Source organism: Homo sapiens, chromosome 2 (genome assembly GCF_000001405.40).
Source record: "Homo sapiens chromosome 2, GRCh38.p14 Primary Assembly".
NCBI lineage: Eukaryota > Metazoa > Chordata > Mammalia > Primates > Hominidae > Homo > Homo sapiens.
In genome coordinates this window covers 98,053,422-98,071,557 of record NC_000002.12, presented here as the reverse complement: position 1 = coordinate 98,071,557, position 18,136 = coordinate 98,053,422, and the positions used below count along the sequence as shown (strand labels likewise).

At 41.1% G+C, this 18,136-nt stretch overlaps 1 annotated feature.

The window, feature by feature from the left end:
- Positions 16,204-17,403: an enhancer, noted in NCBI's record as "CDK7 strongly-dependent group 2 enhancer chr2:98670618-98671817 (GRCh37/hg19 assembly coordinates)". NCBI's record gives its function as "activates an origin of replication core promoter dependent on BRD2, BRD4, P300/CBP, MED14 and CDK7 cofactors, with strong dependence on CDK7, by STARR-seq in HCT116 cells {active_cell/tissue: HCT116}" and the evidence as "EXISTENCE:reporter gene assay evidence [ECO:0000049][PMID:35650434]".

The window sequence follows — 18,136 nt, the reverse complement described above, 5'->3', positions numbered from 1 at the left end:
AAGAAAAGATTTGTTGTTTTCTAGTTCAAAACAAAAGGAAACAACACAGGAATTGATTATCTTTTCCAAATGTAGTAACCTGGAAAAATGAGCATTAAAGATGTAACTATTTGGAGAAACAAAGTGAAGCATACCTAGAACTTCCCTGTAATATTTGTGCAATTTCCTATGAATCTATAATTATTTCAAAATAAAAAGTTCTTAAAAAGTACATTAAAGTACAGCACTAGTAGAGACTCCCAAAACTACCACCTTCCCTTTCCAGTAGGACAAAGGAAAATTGTCTGGGACAGGGAGCAAGGGACAAAGGAGGCTGCTCTGTGTATTCAAGACTAGGATTAACAAATCTTAGAGGACACAGCGTTTTTCTGCTCAAAAAGGGCACGAGGGTTACAAAGCCAAAATTGCCTGAGCAGTGTGGAGTGCAGAGAACTTGAACCTGAGAGTAGTAGATCTTAGCAGGAGATGGGACTCATTGCTTTTCTTAGATTTTAGGAGTTTGAGTTGTCAGTCTTTCTACTGTCAGATGTCAAAAAGTATAGTGGCAATAGCAGCAACATCAATGCCATTTTCCTGGTTTGGGGTGTACTACAGTTATGTAAGGTATTACCACTGGAGCTCGGGGAAGAGACTAAGGAACTCTCAGTACTACTTTTACAACAATTTAAATAATTGAGTCTACACTTATTTAAAAATAAAAGTTAAAAAAAGAATAGTGGCATATCATTCAAAGTTTATATAGTTGACTTTATAAACTTTTGCTGATTATACTTTGTTCCTGACACAGATAGAATTGTCTGGTAATTTTTCTGGGATGTTGGGTCTGTTATGAGGTCAGATGAATTATGGAGCAAATAAGGGTCAAATTAGCAGTAAAAGTATCATTCCAGGGTATTGGAACTTCCTCCAACAGTGTTTAAAGGACAATCAAAAAAACATTAACAAGCAGAAGTGCTTTTTATACCTTCAGGAAAGGACAAACTTAAGAGCTTTCTTCTGCGGATCATAGTCAAAGGTCTAGTTTCCGGTGAAGAAAACCTGTGGTTGTTCTGCTTCTGTCTCTGTAAATGCATTCAGAGTCAGATTTGCAGGAGAATTCTTTCCCATGCACAAATCTAAACATAGATTGGGCCTGACTATGCAAGTTTCCCTTAAACGGAAGAAGGGCATCAGGCACCCGAGTGTGTGATGGTTCCTAATACTGCGATTACAACAACTGGGCCCTCAGAGTTGCGGGTCCTCACGGCATCTCCACAGCCAGGCACGGGGCTTCGTCAGCACAACAATGATCATCTCCAGACGGTCTTTCTGACTTGGAATGGCAGCCTTTGGCTGAGCCGCAGTAGGACCCCCATAAACGCCTGCTCTGTCAGCCCTCCTTTGCCCTGGGTGCTCCCTTCTTTATTCCTGCTGTGGAGGCTCACAGGGACAGGGAAAGTTTCTTTACAGACCGAACAAGCTACAAGGATTCTGCTACCTCATTTAGAATAATAATAAACAAGACCACAATTGTCTAGTGAGCACCATCTTTTAAAATAAACCTTCCCTGAGGAACAGGGGACTGTTTTGAGAAAGTAGCTTTTAGGAATGTGTTAAGTGGCATTGTTTTATGGTTACTTGTACAGAGAGCGTTTTATCTGTTGTTTTTCAGCACATGTGAGTGCCCTACCACTAGTTTATTCCAGTGCGATAAAATGTACTTTTTGTCCTAATATAGAGGATGCTGCTTACTAAAAACAGAAGCCCATTCTGCAACTTTGTTCATATATTTAAGACCCCAAGTCACAACTCTTTTTTTCTGTAGAAGAGCATGAGCAAACCCTTGGCATATTCTCAACAGGTTTGTAGCTATACGGGAAAGAATGTTGTCCCATCTTCCAAAGAGCAGCTAAACATCAGCCCAACCTTTTATGAAGTTAATTTCACTAAAAACTTGTATTTTTTTCTGCCAGGCGCGGTGGCTCACACCTGTAATCCGAGCACTTTGGGAGGCCAAGGTGGGCAGACCACTTGAGGTCAGGCGTTTGAGACCAGCCTGACCAACATGGTGAAACCCTATCTCTACTAAAAATACAGAAATTAGCCGGGTGTTGTGGCGGGCACCTGTAATCCCAGCTGCTTGGGAGGGTGAGGCAGGAGAATCACTTAAACCCAGAAGGTGGAGGTTGCAGGGAGCCAAGATTGCGCCTCTGCACTCCAGCCTGGGCTACAGAGGGAGACCCTGTCTCAAAAAAAAAAAACCAAAAACAAAAACAAAACTTGCAGTTTTTTTAATTGCAGCTATGGCCTTCAATAGCTAAATTCAGCTATTCAAGCACTGTGCTCAGGGGATGTAAGTCATCAAGACAAGCATAGTCCTCAGTCTTAGGAGATTTGCACCTAAATTACAAAATCATCAATAAAATCAATAAACAAAGGGTAAATATATATCAAGTGAAGTGTTTGTTTTGTTTTGTTCATTTTGTTTTCCTGAGATGGAGTCTTGCTCTGTCACCCAGGCTAGAGTGCAGTGGCGTGATCTCGGCGCATTGCAACCTCCACCTCCCAAGTTCAAGTGATTCTCCTGCCTCAGTCTCCCGAGTAGCTGGGATTACAGGCACACACTACCACGCCTGGCTTTTTTCTTTTTTTTTTTTTAAGTACAGGCAGGGTTTCACTGTGTTGGCCAGGCTGGTCTCGAACTCCTGAACTCAGATGACCCACCTGCCTTGGCCTCCCAAAGTGGTGGGATTACAGGGATAAGACACTGTGCCCAGCCTCAAGTGAAGTTTTATAATGGTGCAAAATTGTAATCAACTTGAGTTTCAAACAGGACACTTTGGTTAAATAAATTATATACAAACCAGCCATTAAAAATGGTGTAGAAGACACACTTAATGATTTGGAAACAGTATAGTAAGTGAAAACAAACACCAATGAAATACACTGCATATATGGTGCGAATGTGCTGAAGGAAGTACAAATAATTATAGGTCACCTGAGGTTATCTCCAAATGGAAGGATAATGGGTGATTTTCATTTTCTTCTTTTTTCTTTTTATATTTTCTATAATAAATATGCATTATTTTGTAATTTGACAAAACTAATAATTATTTCCCCCTTAAGTGAAAGAAAAATGCATCCCTAATGTTATTTACAATATAAAAATCTGATGCTAATCAAGTATTTTCTTTTTTTTTTTTTTTTTGATGGAGTCTCACTCTGTTGCCCAGGCTGGAGTGCAGTGGCGTGATCTTGGCTCACTGCAGCCTCCACCTCCCGGGTTCAAGCGATTCTCCTGCCTCAGCCTCCCAAGTAGCTGGGACTACAGGCGCCTGCCACTGCACCCGGCTAATTTTTGTACTTTTAGTAGAGATGGGGTTTTACCGTGTTAGCCAGGATGGTCTCAAATTCCTGACCTTGTGATCCATCCACCTCGACCTCCCTAAGTGCTGGGATTACAGGCGTGAGCGACCGCGCCTGGCCTCAAGTACTTTCTTTAAGAATATATATGTGATTGCTTGTCTGTATATAAGCTATTTCTGGAAGGAGACTCAAGAAATAGCATTATTGATTGCCTCCAGGGAGGGGAAATAAGTGTTTAGGGACATAAGTAGATAGAAGGCTTTTCACCCAACATTGTTTTATATCTTCTAAATGTGTAACCTATTCAAAAATTAATTTAAAGCTTGGAAATTAAAATTTTAATCGATAGTAACTGAAAGTTACCTTTATCAGCCTTAGTCAAGTCCTTGCCTTGGTGTCACTGGCAAGCCTTCAATGCTTGGGACCTCAACCAGCATATCCCATAAGGTTTTTTCCAACTTACTCACTACAAGTAATGCATATGGGGCTGGGCGCAGTGGCTCACGTCTGTAATCCCAGCACTTTGGGAGGCGGAGGCGGGCAGATCACACAAGGCCAGGAGTTTGACAGCAGCCTGGGCAACATGGCGAAACCTCATCTCTACTAAAAATATAAAAATTAGCTGGGCGTGGTTGTGCACACCGGTAATCCCAGCTACTCGGGAGGCTGAGGCAGGAGAATCACTTGAACCTGGGAGATGGAGGTTGCAGTGAGCCGAGATCACGCCACTGCACTCTATCCTGGGTGACAGACCAAGACTCCGTCTCAAAAAAAAAGAAAAAAAGTAATGCATAAAGAGTCTACACATTCCTAAAGCTCAGTCATGGATACTCTTTTCAAGAACCTGATTGCTATGGGCAGAATGTTAAATGTAATGTGTTCTGTGGGCTACAGTTGACAAAGCAACCTATCAGTTACTCTATCCTGCTTGCTACACAGTTGTTGATCACGGTGGGTAGAGAGAATAGAGGGTGAAGGAAAGTCACTGATTTCATTGATGGGGTAAAATACATTGAGCTTGATAATCAAAATTGAGGCTAACCTTGGCACCATTACTCTAACGGCCACACTGGATCTTCCCATGTGTAAGGTTACTCTATCTGTCTTGGGATACCCTCAGTCCCACTTTTTCATTGACTTCCCTTTTGGAGGCCTATGACTGCAGGGTTTGCTTCTGTTCTGGTCTGTCCTCCTGGGATCCATTCAGCTGCCCCTCCCATGAAACTTTTTCTCACTGTTCCACTCCTGAGCCACTTGGGCCACTCAGGACTGCTATAGCACCTAAACTCTGGACCACACTCTTTGGTGGTAATACACTGCCTTGGATGTTCACTGTGTAGTCAGTTGTGATTTGTTTCTCCAACTAGATTCTCAGCTTCTGAAGGCAGGACCATGAACTATATTGGGGCCCCTACTGAACCGAACATAAAGTAGATACTCATTATTGCTTATTTGACTAACTATAATAACATAAAATTATGTACACACACACACACTCTTTCCAGGAATATTGCTCTCTCTGCCTCAAGTTCCCCTCTCTTGTTCCACACATGGGGAATTCCTTGTCATTCATCCAAGCACAGTAACTGATGTCACTGGGCTTTGATGAATCTAAGTCTTCCCTCTAGTCTCCAGAGCACCTCGCAAGCTGCACTCTCACATTGAACTGACTGCTGTGGCCCTCTACCCGCTCCACCGTATCACTCCCATTGAATGCCCATGCTTAGCCATGTCTAAACATAAAAGGGACCAACACATTTTTAATGCATCAAAGAATAGCCAATGGCAATGTTTTTCAGAGTGAATTCCCAATCCCACATTCTCTAAATTTTTTTGGATGTCCATGGATGTTCTATAAAAGTTTGTTAATATTGTGTTTTCATTTTGATTATTGGTCTACTTAAAAATATTTAACTCTATTATTAATTAATGAATGAATAGCTGAAGGAAGTCTTGCTAACCAGTGGGATTTGGGTGACCATGTTTACATGTGTATATTTATGTGCTGGTTTTCAGAAATTAAATGTCTCAACTAATTAGAAAAGAAATGGGAAAATACCATAAATATGTAAGTGATGCATTCGGTAAAGTGAAAGCCGAATGGCTGTCAAGACTATGTCTGTGAGTGAAGGTTTCATAGCAGTTTGATAGAGACCAGCGGTGGGAAAATGAGATCATCATGTCATATGCAGTCATGGAGACTGTGGTAGGGACAGTCAGAACATGGCCTCACTGCAGGATGAGGCGTAGTCTCCACAGAACAGCAGTGTATCCCATGAAATGGCAACTTGAATTTTGTTGGGTTTGGTGGTCTTTTGTGTTCAATTTGTAAATTTCTTTTTGTTTTAAAATAGCAATAGGTGTTATACACATGAAGAGTTTATTACTAGCTTTATGTTGATGCATGTTTAAGAAATATTATAAGAAAAATAATATGGCTGGGCGCAGTGGCTCACTCCTGTAATCCCAGCGCTTTGGAAGGCCGAGGTTGGTGGATCGCCTGAGGTCAGGAGTTCAAGACCAGCCTGACCAACATGATGAAAACCCGTCTCTACTAAAAATACAAAAAATTAGCAGGGCATTGTGGCAGGCACCTGTAATCCCAGCTACTTGGAGGCTGAGGCAGGAGAATTGCTTGAACCTGGAGGCGGAGGTAGCAGTGAGCCGAGATAGCACCACTGCACTCTAGCCTGGGCAACAAGAGCAAAACTCTGTTTCAAAAAAGGAAACATAAGATAAGGGAATAGTCCAGGCTGGGCACTAAGAGCAAAACAGAAAGAGAGAAAGAAAGGAAGAAAGAAAAGAAAGAAAGAAAGAAAGGAAAGGAGAGAGAAAGAGAAAGAAAGAGAGAGCGAGAGAGAGAGCAAGAGAGAAGAAAGAAAGAAAAGAAATGAAAAGAAAGGAAAAGAAAAGAAAATTAATGTAAGGGAATAGTAGCCGTCTTCTTTTCTTTTCTTTTTTTTGGGGGGGTGGGGGATAGAGCGAGACTCTGTCCCCCAGGCTGGAGTGCAGTGGTGCAATCTTGGCTCACTACAAGCTCTGCCTCCCGGGTTCACGCCATTCTCCTGCCTCAGCCTCCTTAGTAGCTGGGACTACAGGCGCCCGCCACCACGCCCGGCTAATTTTTTGTATTTTTAGTAGAGACGGGGTTTCACCATGTTAGCCAGGATGGTCTCAATCTCCTGACCTTGTGATCTGCCCACCTCAGCCTCCCAAAGTGCTGGGATTACAGGCGTGAGCCACTGCGCCCGGCCCTTTTCCTTTAAGAGAGTCTACAAGTAACCTCAGATGGGAATTCAAAGCCACATACATGCAAAAAAAAAAGCTCTGGTAAAGGTGATTATGCATTTTTAAAAAACAGTATAAATACTTGAAAGTGCAGTATAAACTAATAAGAGCAAAATTTGGGAAATCCACAAATATGTGGAAATTAGACAACATAATTCAAAATAATCAATAGGTCAAAGAAGAAATCACAAGGTAAATTAGAAAATACCTTGAGGTGAATAAAAATGAAAACACTACATAACAATACTGTGGAATGCAGGGAAAGCAGTGATCAGAGGGAAATTTTTCTAGCTGTAAGCATCTATACTAAACAGAGAAGAAACGTCTCTAATTAACAACCTAGCTTTCTACCTTAAGACACTGGGAAAAGAAGAGCAAACTAAACACTAATGCAAATGTAAGGAAGAAAATAACAGGGATTAGAGCAGAAATTAATGACATAGACGGTTCTTTGAAAAAATCAACAAAATGGACAAATCTTTAGCTAGACTGACCAAGGAAAAGACTAGAAGACTAAAATTAGGAATGAAAGAAGGGACATTATGACTAATCTTACAAAAATAAAAAGGATTATAGGGGAATACTATGAAGAACTGTAGGCCAACAGATTAGGAAACTTAAGTGAAATTGAACAATTTCTACAAATACACAAACTACTAAAATTGACTTAAGAAAAAATAGGAGATCTGAATAAGCCTATAATAATTAAAGATATTGAATTATTAATTAAAAGCTACTGACAAAAAAGGGGGGGGCAGGCTCAGATTGCTTTAATGTTAAATTCTAACAAACATTTAAAGAACTAATACCAATCCTTCAAAAATTCTTCCAAAACATTGACAAGGAAGGAACACTTTGCACTGCATTCTATGAGACCAGAATTACCCTGATACACAAACCAGACAGACACCACAGGAAAATAAAACTAGAGACCAACATTTCTTATGAATATAGATACAAACATTTATTTTCAACAAAATACTAATAAACTGAATCCCACAATGTATAAAAAGGATTTTACACCATAAACATATGGGATTTGTCCCGAGAATGCAAGATGAGTTCAATCAATGTGATGCAGGGCAGGCAAGCCCCAAAATTGGGAGAGTTTTTGGCTTCGCTCAGGAAAGAATTTAAGTGTGAACTTGTGGTGTGAAACAGCAACGTATATTGAAGCAGCAGTGTATAGTGGCAGCAGAGGTACTGCTCCTTGTGCAGCAAAGCTACCCCATAGGCACTATACCCAGAGCAGCAGCTCAGAGGCAGTACTATTTGTACCCACTTTTAATTATATGCAAATTAAGGGGCAGATTATGCATAAATTTCTAGAAAAAAGCTGGTAACTTCCAGGCTGTTGGGTTGTTGCCATGGAAAGGGGCAATCACTTCTGGATGTTGCCATGGCAATGGTAAACTGACATGGCACGCTGGTGGGTGTGGCTTACAAAAAGCTGCTTCTGCCCTGTGTCTGTCTTAGCTAGTCCTCAATTTGGTCTGGTGTCCAAGCCCTGCCTGCAGAGCTGAGTCCCACCTACTACCTCAAATGTAATGTACCTTTATAGAATAAAAGACAAAACCACACGATTATTTCAATCAATACTGAAAAAGCATTTGAAAAAATCCAGCATTCCCTCATGATAAAAACACCCAACAAACTAGAAATATAGAAGGGAATTTTCTCAACCTGACAAAGGGCACATATGAAAAGCTTGTAGCTGGCCAGGTGTGGTGGCTCACGCCTGTAATCCTGGCACATTGGGAGGCCAAGGTGGGTGGATCACCTGAGGTCGGGAGTTCCAGACGAGACCAGCCCGGCCATCATGGTGAAACCCTGTCTCTATTAAAAATACAAAAAAAGAAAGAAAAAGAAAAACCTACAGCTAATATCATACTTAATGTTGAAAAACTATCTGCTTTCTCCCTAACATCAGGAACAAGACAAGGATATTTGCTTTGGCACTTATATTCAGTGTTGCACTACCACCTCTAGCCATGTTAATTAGGCAGGAAAATGAACTTAAAGGAATCCAGATTGGAAAGGAAGAAATAAAACTCAATTTTCAGAGGATTTTTGTCTTACATATAGAAAATTCTAAGAAATGCATTAAAAGCCTATTAAAAACTAACAAAACAAGTTTAGCAAAGTTGCAGGATACAAGATCAAGGTACAAAAATCAATTGTATTTCTATAGATCAGTCATGAACAAACTAAAAATGATATTAAAACAATTCCATTTATAATAACATCAAGAATAAGATATTTAGAAATAAAATTAGGAAAAGAAGTATACAAATGCTCTGAAAACCACATAACATTTTTTAAAGAAATTAAAGAAGAGTTAATTAAGTGTTAAGATAGCTCATGTCCAAGAATCAGAAGACTTAATATTGTTAAGATGGTGGCACTACCTAGACTGGTATCTGTAGACTTATTGCAATGCCTGTCAAAATCTCAGCTTTTTGCAGAAATTAACAAGCTGATACTAAAATTCATGTGGCAATGCAAGACAATCAAAACAACCAAAACAATCTTGAAAGGAAAAAACGAAGTTGGAAGATTCACACTTTCTGATTTCAAAACTTACTACAAAGCTATAGTAATCAACTACTTTAAAGTTCATATGGAACCAAAAAAGAGCCCGCATCACCAAGTCAATCCTAAGCCAAAAGAACAAAGCTGGAGGCATCACGCTACCTGACTTCAAACTATACTGCAAGGTTACAGTAACCAAAACAGCATGGTGCTGTTACCAAAACAGAGATATAGATCAATGGAACAGAACAGAGCCCTCAGAAATAACGCTGCATATCTACAACTATCTGATCTTTGACAAACCTGAGAAAAACAAGCAATGGGGAAAGGATTCCCTATTTAATAAATGGTGCTGGGAAAACTGGCTAGCCATATGTAGAAAGCTGAAACTGGATCCCTTCCTTACACCTTATACAAAAATTAATTCAAGATGGATTAAAGACTTAAACGTTAGACCTAAAACCATAAAAACCCTAGAAGAAAACCTAGGCATTACCATTCAGGACATAGGCATGGGCAAGGACTTCATGTCTAAAACACCAAAAGCAATGGCAACAAAAGCCAAAGTTGACAAATGGGATCTAATTAAACTAAAGAGCTTCTGCACAGCAAAAGAAACTACCATCAGAGTGAACAGGCAACCTACAAAATGGGAGAAAATTTTTGCAACCTACTCATCTGACAAAGGGCTAATATCCAGAATCTACAATGAACTCAAATAAATTTACAAGAAAAAATCAAAAAACCCCATCAAAAAGCGGGCAAAGGATATGAACAGACACTTCTCAAAAGAAGACATTTATGCAGCCAAAAGACACATGAAAAAATGCTCGTCATCACTGGCCATCAGAGAAATGCAAGTCAAAACCACAATGAGATACCATCTCACACGAGTTAGAATGGTGATCATTCAAAAGTCAGGAAACAACAGGTGCTGGAGAGGATGTGGAGAAATAGGAACACTTTTACACTGTTGGTGGGACGGTAAACTAGTTCAACCATTGTGGAAGTCAGTGTGGCGATTCCTCAGGGATCTAGAACTAGAAATACCATTTGATCCAGCCATCCCATTACTGGGTATATACCCAAAGGACTATAAATCATGCTGCTATAAAGATACATGCACACGTATGTTTATTGCGGCACTATTCACAATAGCAAAGACTTGGAACCAACCCAAATGTCCATCAATGATAGACTGGATTAAGAAAATGTGGTACATATACACCATGGAATACTATGCAGCCATAAAAAATGATGAGTTCATGTCCTTTGTAGGGGCATGGATGAAATTGGAAATCATCATTCTCAGTAAACTATCGCAAGGACAAAAAACCAAACACCGCATGTTCTCACTCATAGGTGGGAATTGAACAATGAGAACACATGGACACAGGAAGGGGAACATCACACTATGGGGACTGTTGTGGGGTGGGGGGAGGGGGGAGGGATAGCATTAGGAGATATACCTAATGCTAAATGACGAGTTAATGGGTGCAGCGCACCAGCATGGCACAGGTATACATAGGTAAGTAACCTGCACATTGTGCACATGTACCCTAAAACTTAAAGTATAAAAAAAAAAAAAAGCTATAGTAATCAACACAATATGGTACTGGCAGAAGGAATGCATAAATGATGTCAATTGAGCAATAAATCCAGCAAATGGTTGCTGTGAAGACAAATGGAGCCCAAGTGGACTGTATTAAGAGAATCAAGTTTCCATTCATCCAGTGAACATTTAAGTTTGTTTCTATTTGCACTGGAAGCTAGCAACTGCCTACAGCAATGCTCCAGGAGTTAGAAACAAAGGTTCTTGAGTTTGACAAACATTCTCCATGGTTATCAGAAACCTTACTGCTAATAAAGAATGTTGGCGTAAGCTGACCAAGTGAGGGTGTCCAGTGCTTTTTCACACTTGCTGCTGCACGTTTCCTTAGCCCCTGTCTCCCAGCTCCTCCTAGGGATGGGTAAGGCCACCGGCTCCTCTTTCTTTACATTTTGAGTAAGAAGGATTTAATATGGTCGGCCTTTCAAACGAGTCTCGGGTATAGTAGGCCTTCACTACAGAAGTAATTAGTTGGAACTGTTACTGATGGAAGTTGTCCTGGTTACTGGCAATGAATCCCTACAGGTCTGCAGCAACCTCAGTTCTTGCTTCCTCAGAAGAAAGGATTCAACTGAGGGGCATTGCCCGCTCATGCCTGTCTAACCACCTGTAATAGGACTGTATCGGACTATTGGGATTGGAAATGGGTTGAAAAACATAAAGAACATAAATCCATAGGGACAGAAAGTAGATTAGTGTTTGCAAAGGGCTGGGGTAGAGGAGAATGAAGAGTGACTGCTAATGGGTGCAGGTTTCTTCAGGGTTGATGAAAATGTTGTGGAATTAGATAGTGGTGACAGTTGCACAACTCTGTGAACATAATAAACATCACTGAATTGTACATTTTAAGCAGATGGGTTTCATGGTATGCGAATTATATCTCAATCAATCAATCAATAATGAGAGCTGCTTCAGTGGCCAAAAATACCAGATGGAGCAGAGTAGTTTAGTAACACGAAAGTCTAGATCGTAGATATTTTGAGCAACAACTGCAAACTCGATTTGAGGGCAGGACTGGAGACTTCGAAGAAGGTTTTATATGAGGCCAAAGGAGCTGCAGTTTCTCTTTCCAGAATGGAGGAAAAGGTTGAAGGTAATTTTTCTGACATTTGAAGATTAGATTACATGAGTGTAATAAGTTTACTGAGCTCAATATTTGACTTTGCATTTAGTCCAGGACAAACTATTCATTGAAAGATTGGGTGGTTCTTATGAATGCTCTCATGTATTTTAAAGGCTTTATATATAAATCTATTGGGAGTGGGGATAGACTTCAGGATACATCTCCAGGCAAGAGCAGAAAGTAGTGATCGCAGTGGGGAGGTCTATATTGAACGCAGGGAGTCAAGCACAAAGGAAATAGAACTTAAGAGGGAAGGAGCAGCAGCTATAGCGTACTGGCTGACTCAAGCATCGAGATGTCCTTGTCTCTAGTGATTCTTGATCCCCACTATCCTTTCCTTGAGTATCCAAACCAGGGAGGCAAGAAGTTCAAAGCCCTAGAACTTTGAGGCTGGAAGCTCAAAAAGTCTTCTGAAATGAGTGTCTGAATTAGTAGCCTGATATATGACGACATGGTTTGTCTTCTCAGGTAAACAAGGCTGTTGTATTTTCCAACTTAGAGGAGACCCTGCCTACCCTTAGGAAGTAGACAAGATGGAAGTCTAGCACACTTAATAGGTAGATTTGCTTATGTCTCTGCCTAAGGGATAGAGCTCTCCCTAGGAGAGAACTCATCCAAAGGAAGAGGAGGCAGAGTGTCATGGAACTAACATAGATTTGCTACTGAGTTTGGTCCGCACCCGGCCTTCCCTGAACTTATTATATCTGGGCCCCAGGGAAAGAAGGGACAATGAGTAAAAATGGAAGGAGGCAATTTTCCTTGAAGCATTTGTGAGATGGAAGCAGCTTTAGCCGAGTGTAACACAAAAAGGGAGAGAGGCATTCTGTTTTCAGCTGAGCTAAACCCATCTTTAGGCCCAACATTTGTACTGCTATTTTGGGTATCTCTAGGCTCTGCCAGTTGGAAGTGGGCGGAAGCTATATATTTCATTCCCCAAAACCTCACAACCAGATGGTACGTACCAATCATTGTACGTCTCAGACTGGAATCTGCAATGTACAGGTCTCATTAGCAACTAGGTTCCCAAAGTCACACAACCAGTTTTGTGACCTCTGTGGTTTCCCACCTCTTTCCATTTATTGGCACCCATACACTGGATTCGTTCCCTAGGGCTGCAGTAACAAAGTAATGATATCTTGATGGTAAAAAGCAGCAGAAATTCATTATCTCACAGTTCTGGCGGCTAGAAGTCTGACATCAAGGTGTCCGCGGGGCAAGGCTCCCTCTGAGACTCTGGGTAAAATCTTCCCTTGACTCTTCCGAGCTTCGAGTTGCTGCCGGCAATCCTTCACATTCCTTGGCTTGCAGCTGCATCACTCTAGTATCTGCTCTATCATCATGTGACATTCTTCTCTCGGTGTGGCTCTTCCCTTCTTATCAGGACACCAGTCATATTGGATCAAGGGCCCACCCTGTTCCAGTATAACTTCCTCTTAACTCGATTCCATTTGCGAAGACCCTGTTTCCAAAAAAGGTCCCATTCATAGGTGCCAGGGGTTAGGATTTCAATATATATTTTGGGGGAGCACAATTCAACCCACATCGTGCCAGAAAAGGCCACTCAAAAGCCAACATGGTAACGTCCCAACTATAGGACCAGGTGACGATGACGTATGTAAAGCGGGTCCAAGATCTAAGTGGAACTTGCGAGCGTGGTACTACCGGGTCTTCTCATGCTTGTGTCCCAGTGATACAGGAGCAAAGCTCGTAACTTGAACATCTCTCGTTCTACAAATGAAGAATAATATCTAACATCCCTCAGATAATTAACCTTCTAAGGATGAGGGTTTCTTAAAAATTTTGTGCCATGGACTCCTTTGGCACTCTGAGAAGGCTATGACTCTCTTCTCTGAAAAAAAAAATGCATTTACTCTTTTATTGTAATCTTTTAAATTAAAATAAAATACATAGCTTTGCAAAGGAAAGCAATTATTTTGAAATATAGTTCTCAAAATACTAGAAAAAATCAAATTTGTGCTATAGTAATATATGTGCTTCATGATTATCCCTTGAAATAACAAGCTCTAGTGGAAAATCTAATAATTAGTGTCATTTAGAAGTGATGACAAATGTAAAAAATATTTGGAGATATCTGCAGCAACTGGGACATCAGTGAGAGTCCCTGGGACTCCTGCACAGCAGAGCTACTGCTCCTCTCCTACTGGGGTTTGCTGCCTACTTTTGTAATGGAAGGAAATGCAGTTTTTCAGTTTAAAGATAGTGAAATAAGTATGTAATTTTTTCCATTCCGGTTGATGGACTTCCTAAATTCTATCCTGAGACTCCTGGGCGGTCAGTGGACCTCATGTGAAGAATCCTCCAATGGATATGGAAAGTGGATTCCTAATTAGGGAGCTTCAAAAGGTGACTTACAGCACCAGGGGGAAGAAAAATTTCATTCTATTACACTGTCTACACAGAATCATCTTAAAATAGGTTATAGACCCTTTAAGGCATTTCTCTTCACAACAGAATTCTGGGAGATGAGGGCTATGCAGGCACCATGTGGGGGGCTGCAGACGCAGGGGTTAGCCAGATGGGAGGAGTGGGGGTCTCGGAGAAGCTGTAGTACGATCAGCTGGAAGCAGAGCAGGAGTAGACCTAAGAAACAATTGGGAAGTGAAGATGATGGGGCCAGAGCAGAAGAAATTAAACTGCTGAAATGGCTAACCTCACCTAGTAACTAATTCAACGTGTTTGTAAACATTTGCAAGGTAGCCTGGGCACCCCTATAAAATGCCTGAAGAAATTCCTGCATTATTTGGTGGTTGGATAGAACCAATGAAATGTAGGTTATGTTAGAATGTTTCAGATGGGTTTCCTCTACAAACAGTACAAGTACAAGTTGAAAACCTGAAAATCAATAATTACACTACCGCTGTTATTTCACTGTGTACTCAAGGTTAAGAAACAGGAACTTAAATTTCAGAATTTATATTCCCAGTTCAGTGATGATGCCCTCAGAAATGGATCTCTTTTTTTTAAGAAAAAAAAAAAAAAAAACCAGGCCGGTCGCGGTGGCTCACCCCTGTAATCCCAGCACTTTGGGAGGAGGCCGAGGCGAGCAGATCACCTGAGGTTGAGAGCTCGAGACCAGCCTGACCAACATGGAGAAACCCCATCTCTACTAAAAATACAAAATTAGCCAGGTGTGGTGGCACGCGCCTGTAATCCCAGCTACTTTGGAATCTGAGGCAGGAGAATCACTTGAACCCGGGAGGCGGAGGTTGGGGTGAGCCGAGATAGAGCCATTGCACTCCAGCCTGGGCAACAACAGTGAGACTCTGTCTCAAAAAACAAACAAACGAACAAACAAACAAACAAAAACCTACCAGTAAAGAACCATTGAGAAGCTCATTCTCTAATGCATATAATCTGTGGCATCCATTTAGAAATGTTCAAAATAGCCCTTTAGCACATCCTCTGTCATCTTCTGTACCTACACAAACGTGATGGAGGTGGAGTATATGGTAATGCTGGTTTTGGTGGGGTTGCTGGGGGTGGAGTGGAGACTGATGTTGAATCTTGTCTCTAAACTTCTCTTCTTGTTTTTCAACTGTGCCTGGCCCACAGTTGATATATTCCATGTGCCAGTGGCCTGCAAAAGAAAAAGTAAAGCTCCCAGCCTCTGTTTTAGGGAAGGCATGGCCATCCAATCACCTGGGCCTGAATAATCCACCTTCTTGGAGCCCTCTTCTGAACAGCCGTGCCTTGGAAAGGGGCCTGGGGTGGACATCAGGAGACCTAGGGCCTAATCATAGCCTTGCTGAGGATGTGTTGTCTGACCTTGGAAAAGTCTGTTAATCTCTTGGGGTTTCAGCTTCCTCTCTACTAAATCTCCCAAGAACTTTCCAGTTCAAAAATTATTCTATGGCAGCACAACACTTAAAGGAAAAGCATTTGTGTGGCCCTCCAGTATTGTTTTTGATTATTTTAGTCAAAATGTTTCTTAAACATGTAAAGTTAAAACTCAATAACGGATTTCCTTATGTAAATAATTTTAGAGATTTGAGACAAGCAAAACAACAGATGAGATAAAATTTTAACCAATATATACTATTAAATTTTAATTACTTTTCCTCATTGATAATTGACATTATTAATTCCATGTGATGAATAATACTGGTTTTGCTAGACCCAAACTGCTGCTCACACTGGAACATGCTACAGAGAACTCCTCCACCATTGTGTTCCATATGATGACTCAGGTCTCCCATCACTGTCTCCTTCTGAACCACTGTGAAATTTTCTTCAAGCCCTGCCATCATTTGGCCTTTGCATTGGAAGAATGCACTGTTTTTACTTTATATTCTCCTTTGTTCCTTCCTCCTGAGCCTGCAATTATTAAAGTAAAATGACAAGACACCAAATGATGCTGTAATCAATGGCCATATCTACATATGGGTCCTCCAGACAACCTCAAAAGTGTTTACACTAATATTTTTGTTAGGTTATCACTGAAATAAAAACACAAGAATTTTAAGCCAAGCATAATGGCGTCTGCCTGTAGTCACAGCTACACAAGTGGATGGCTTGAGCCTAGGGGTTCAAAACCAGCCTAGGCAACATAACAAGACCCCAAGCTCTAAGAAACAAAACAAACAAACAAAAAAAAGAATTTAAAAATTTTTCATAAATTCACAGTTCCTTGAAGATGTGTGCCTGGATCTTCGTGTGAGAAATGCTCCTTTATCATTTACAGGGGCCTCGACAGAACCTTCCTCTAGTGTCCCCATCCCTCCTCCGAAGGAAGGACACAACACATACACAAGACCTTCAGTTCTTCTCAAGTGTTTTTGGAGATCAGGGTGTAGAAACCAAGATCAAGTTTGTTTCCAAACGTCATCAAAAACAAGGTGACGTACCCAGAAAACTTGCGCCCTCTCTTACAGAAATCCAATTCTCATTCCCTGCTTTCTAGGAGGAATTTAAGAAAATAGGTTGAAAAGATTCGAGGACCAAAGGTATATTACTTCAATGAGAAAAACACAGCCAGAGACTGACCTCTTGACCTCCAGATGGGCTGTTTCTTTTCTTTTTTGCAGGATGCTGCTATAGAAAAAGCTCATGAAACTCAAAGGCACAGAGACAAGCTCATGGCTGCATTATGAAGCTTGCATAGTCCCAGGAGAGCGGATAGCCCTCTTAGCAGATTCAAATTCCACTCTCTCTAGAAACATGAAGTAGCAGCCTACTGTGTACAAGAAAGCCATCAGCAATGAGGTAAGGTTGACCTTCACAGCGCAGCCCAAACCCTGAGACCTCATGGTCAGAACAACAGGAACGTAGTGTTTTCATGATAAGGTGTGGGAAGGTAGAAATCAGTCATGACACAGAAGCCAACCACCACACAGGAAGCCCCCAGTCCACTGGTGGCCCAGCAGGGTACAATGGATCCAGATGAAATTGTCAGGATCTGTGGCAGTTTGGCCACTTTGGCGGAGCTTTAAAATTATTAATCCAATTTCATGACATTTATAGAATTATTTAACTTATCAATTTCATAATCGGTGAACACATTAAGGATTGTTCTTTCTTCTTAGAGAGTTGGCCATTTTGTTATTATGTAAGTTTGTCTTTATTCCTGATAATTTTCCTTGCTCTGAAGTCAGCTCTGTCTGAAATTAATGTCACCACTCCAGTCTTAATAGGTTGAATCTTATCCCCTTGTTACAGGAAAGGGGTCCTGATCCAGATCCCAAGAGAGGGTTCTTGGATCTCACACAAGAAAGAATTCAGGACAAGTCCGCAGTGCAAAGTGAAAGCAAGTTTATTAAGAAAGTAATAAAAGGAAAGAAATAAAAGAACGGCTACTCCATAGACAGAGCAACCCTGAGGGCTGCTGGTTGACCATTTTTATGGTTATTTCTTGATGATATGCTAAACAAAGGGTGGATTATTCATGTCTCCCCTCTTTAGAACATATAGGGTAACCTCCTGACATTGCCATGGCGTTTGTAAACTGTCATGGTGCTGGTGGGAGTGTAGCAGTGAGGACAACCAGAGGTCACTCTCGTGGCCGTTTTGGTTTTGGTGGGATTTGGCTGGCTCCTTTACTGCATCCTGTTTTATCAGCAAGGTCTTTATGACCTGTATTTTGTGACGACCTCCTGTCTCATCCTGTGACTTAGAATGCCTTAACTCTCTAGGAATGCAGCCCAGTAGGTTCAGCCTCATTTTACCCAGCTCCTATTTCAGATGGAGTTGCTCTGGTTCACACACCTCTGACATTTCCCCCC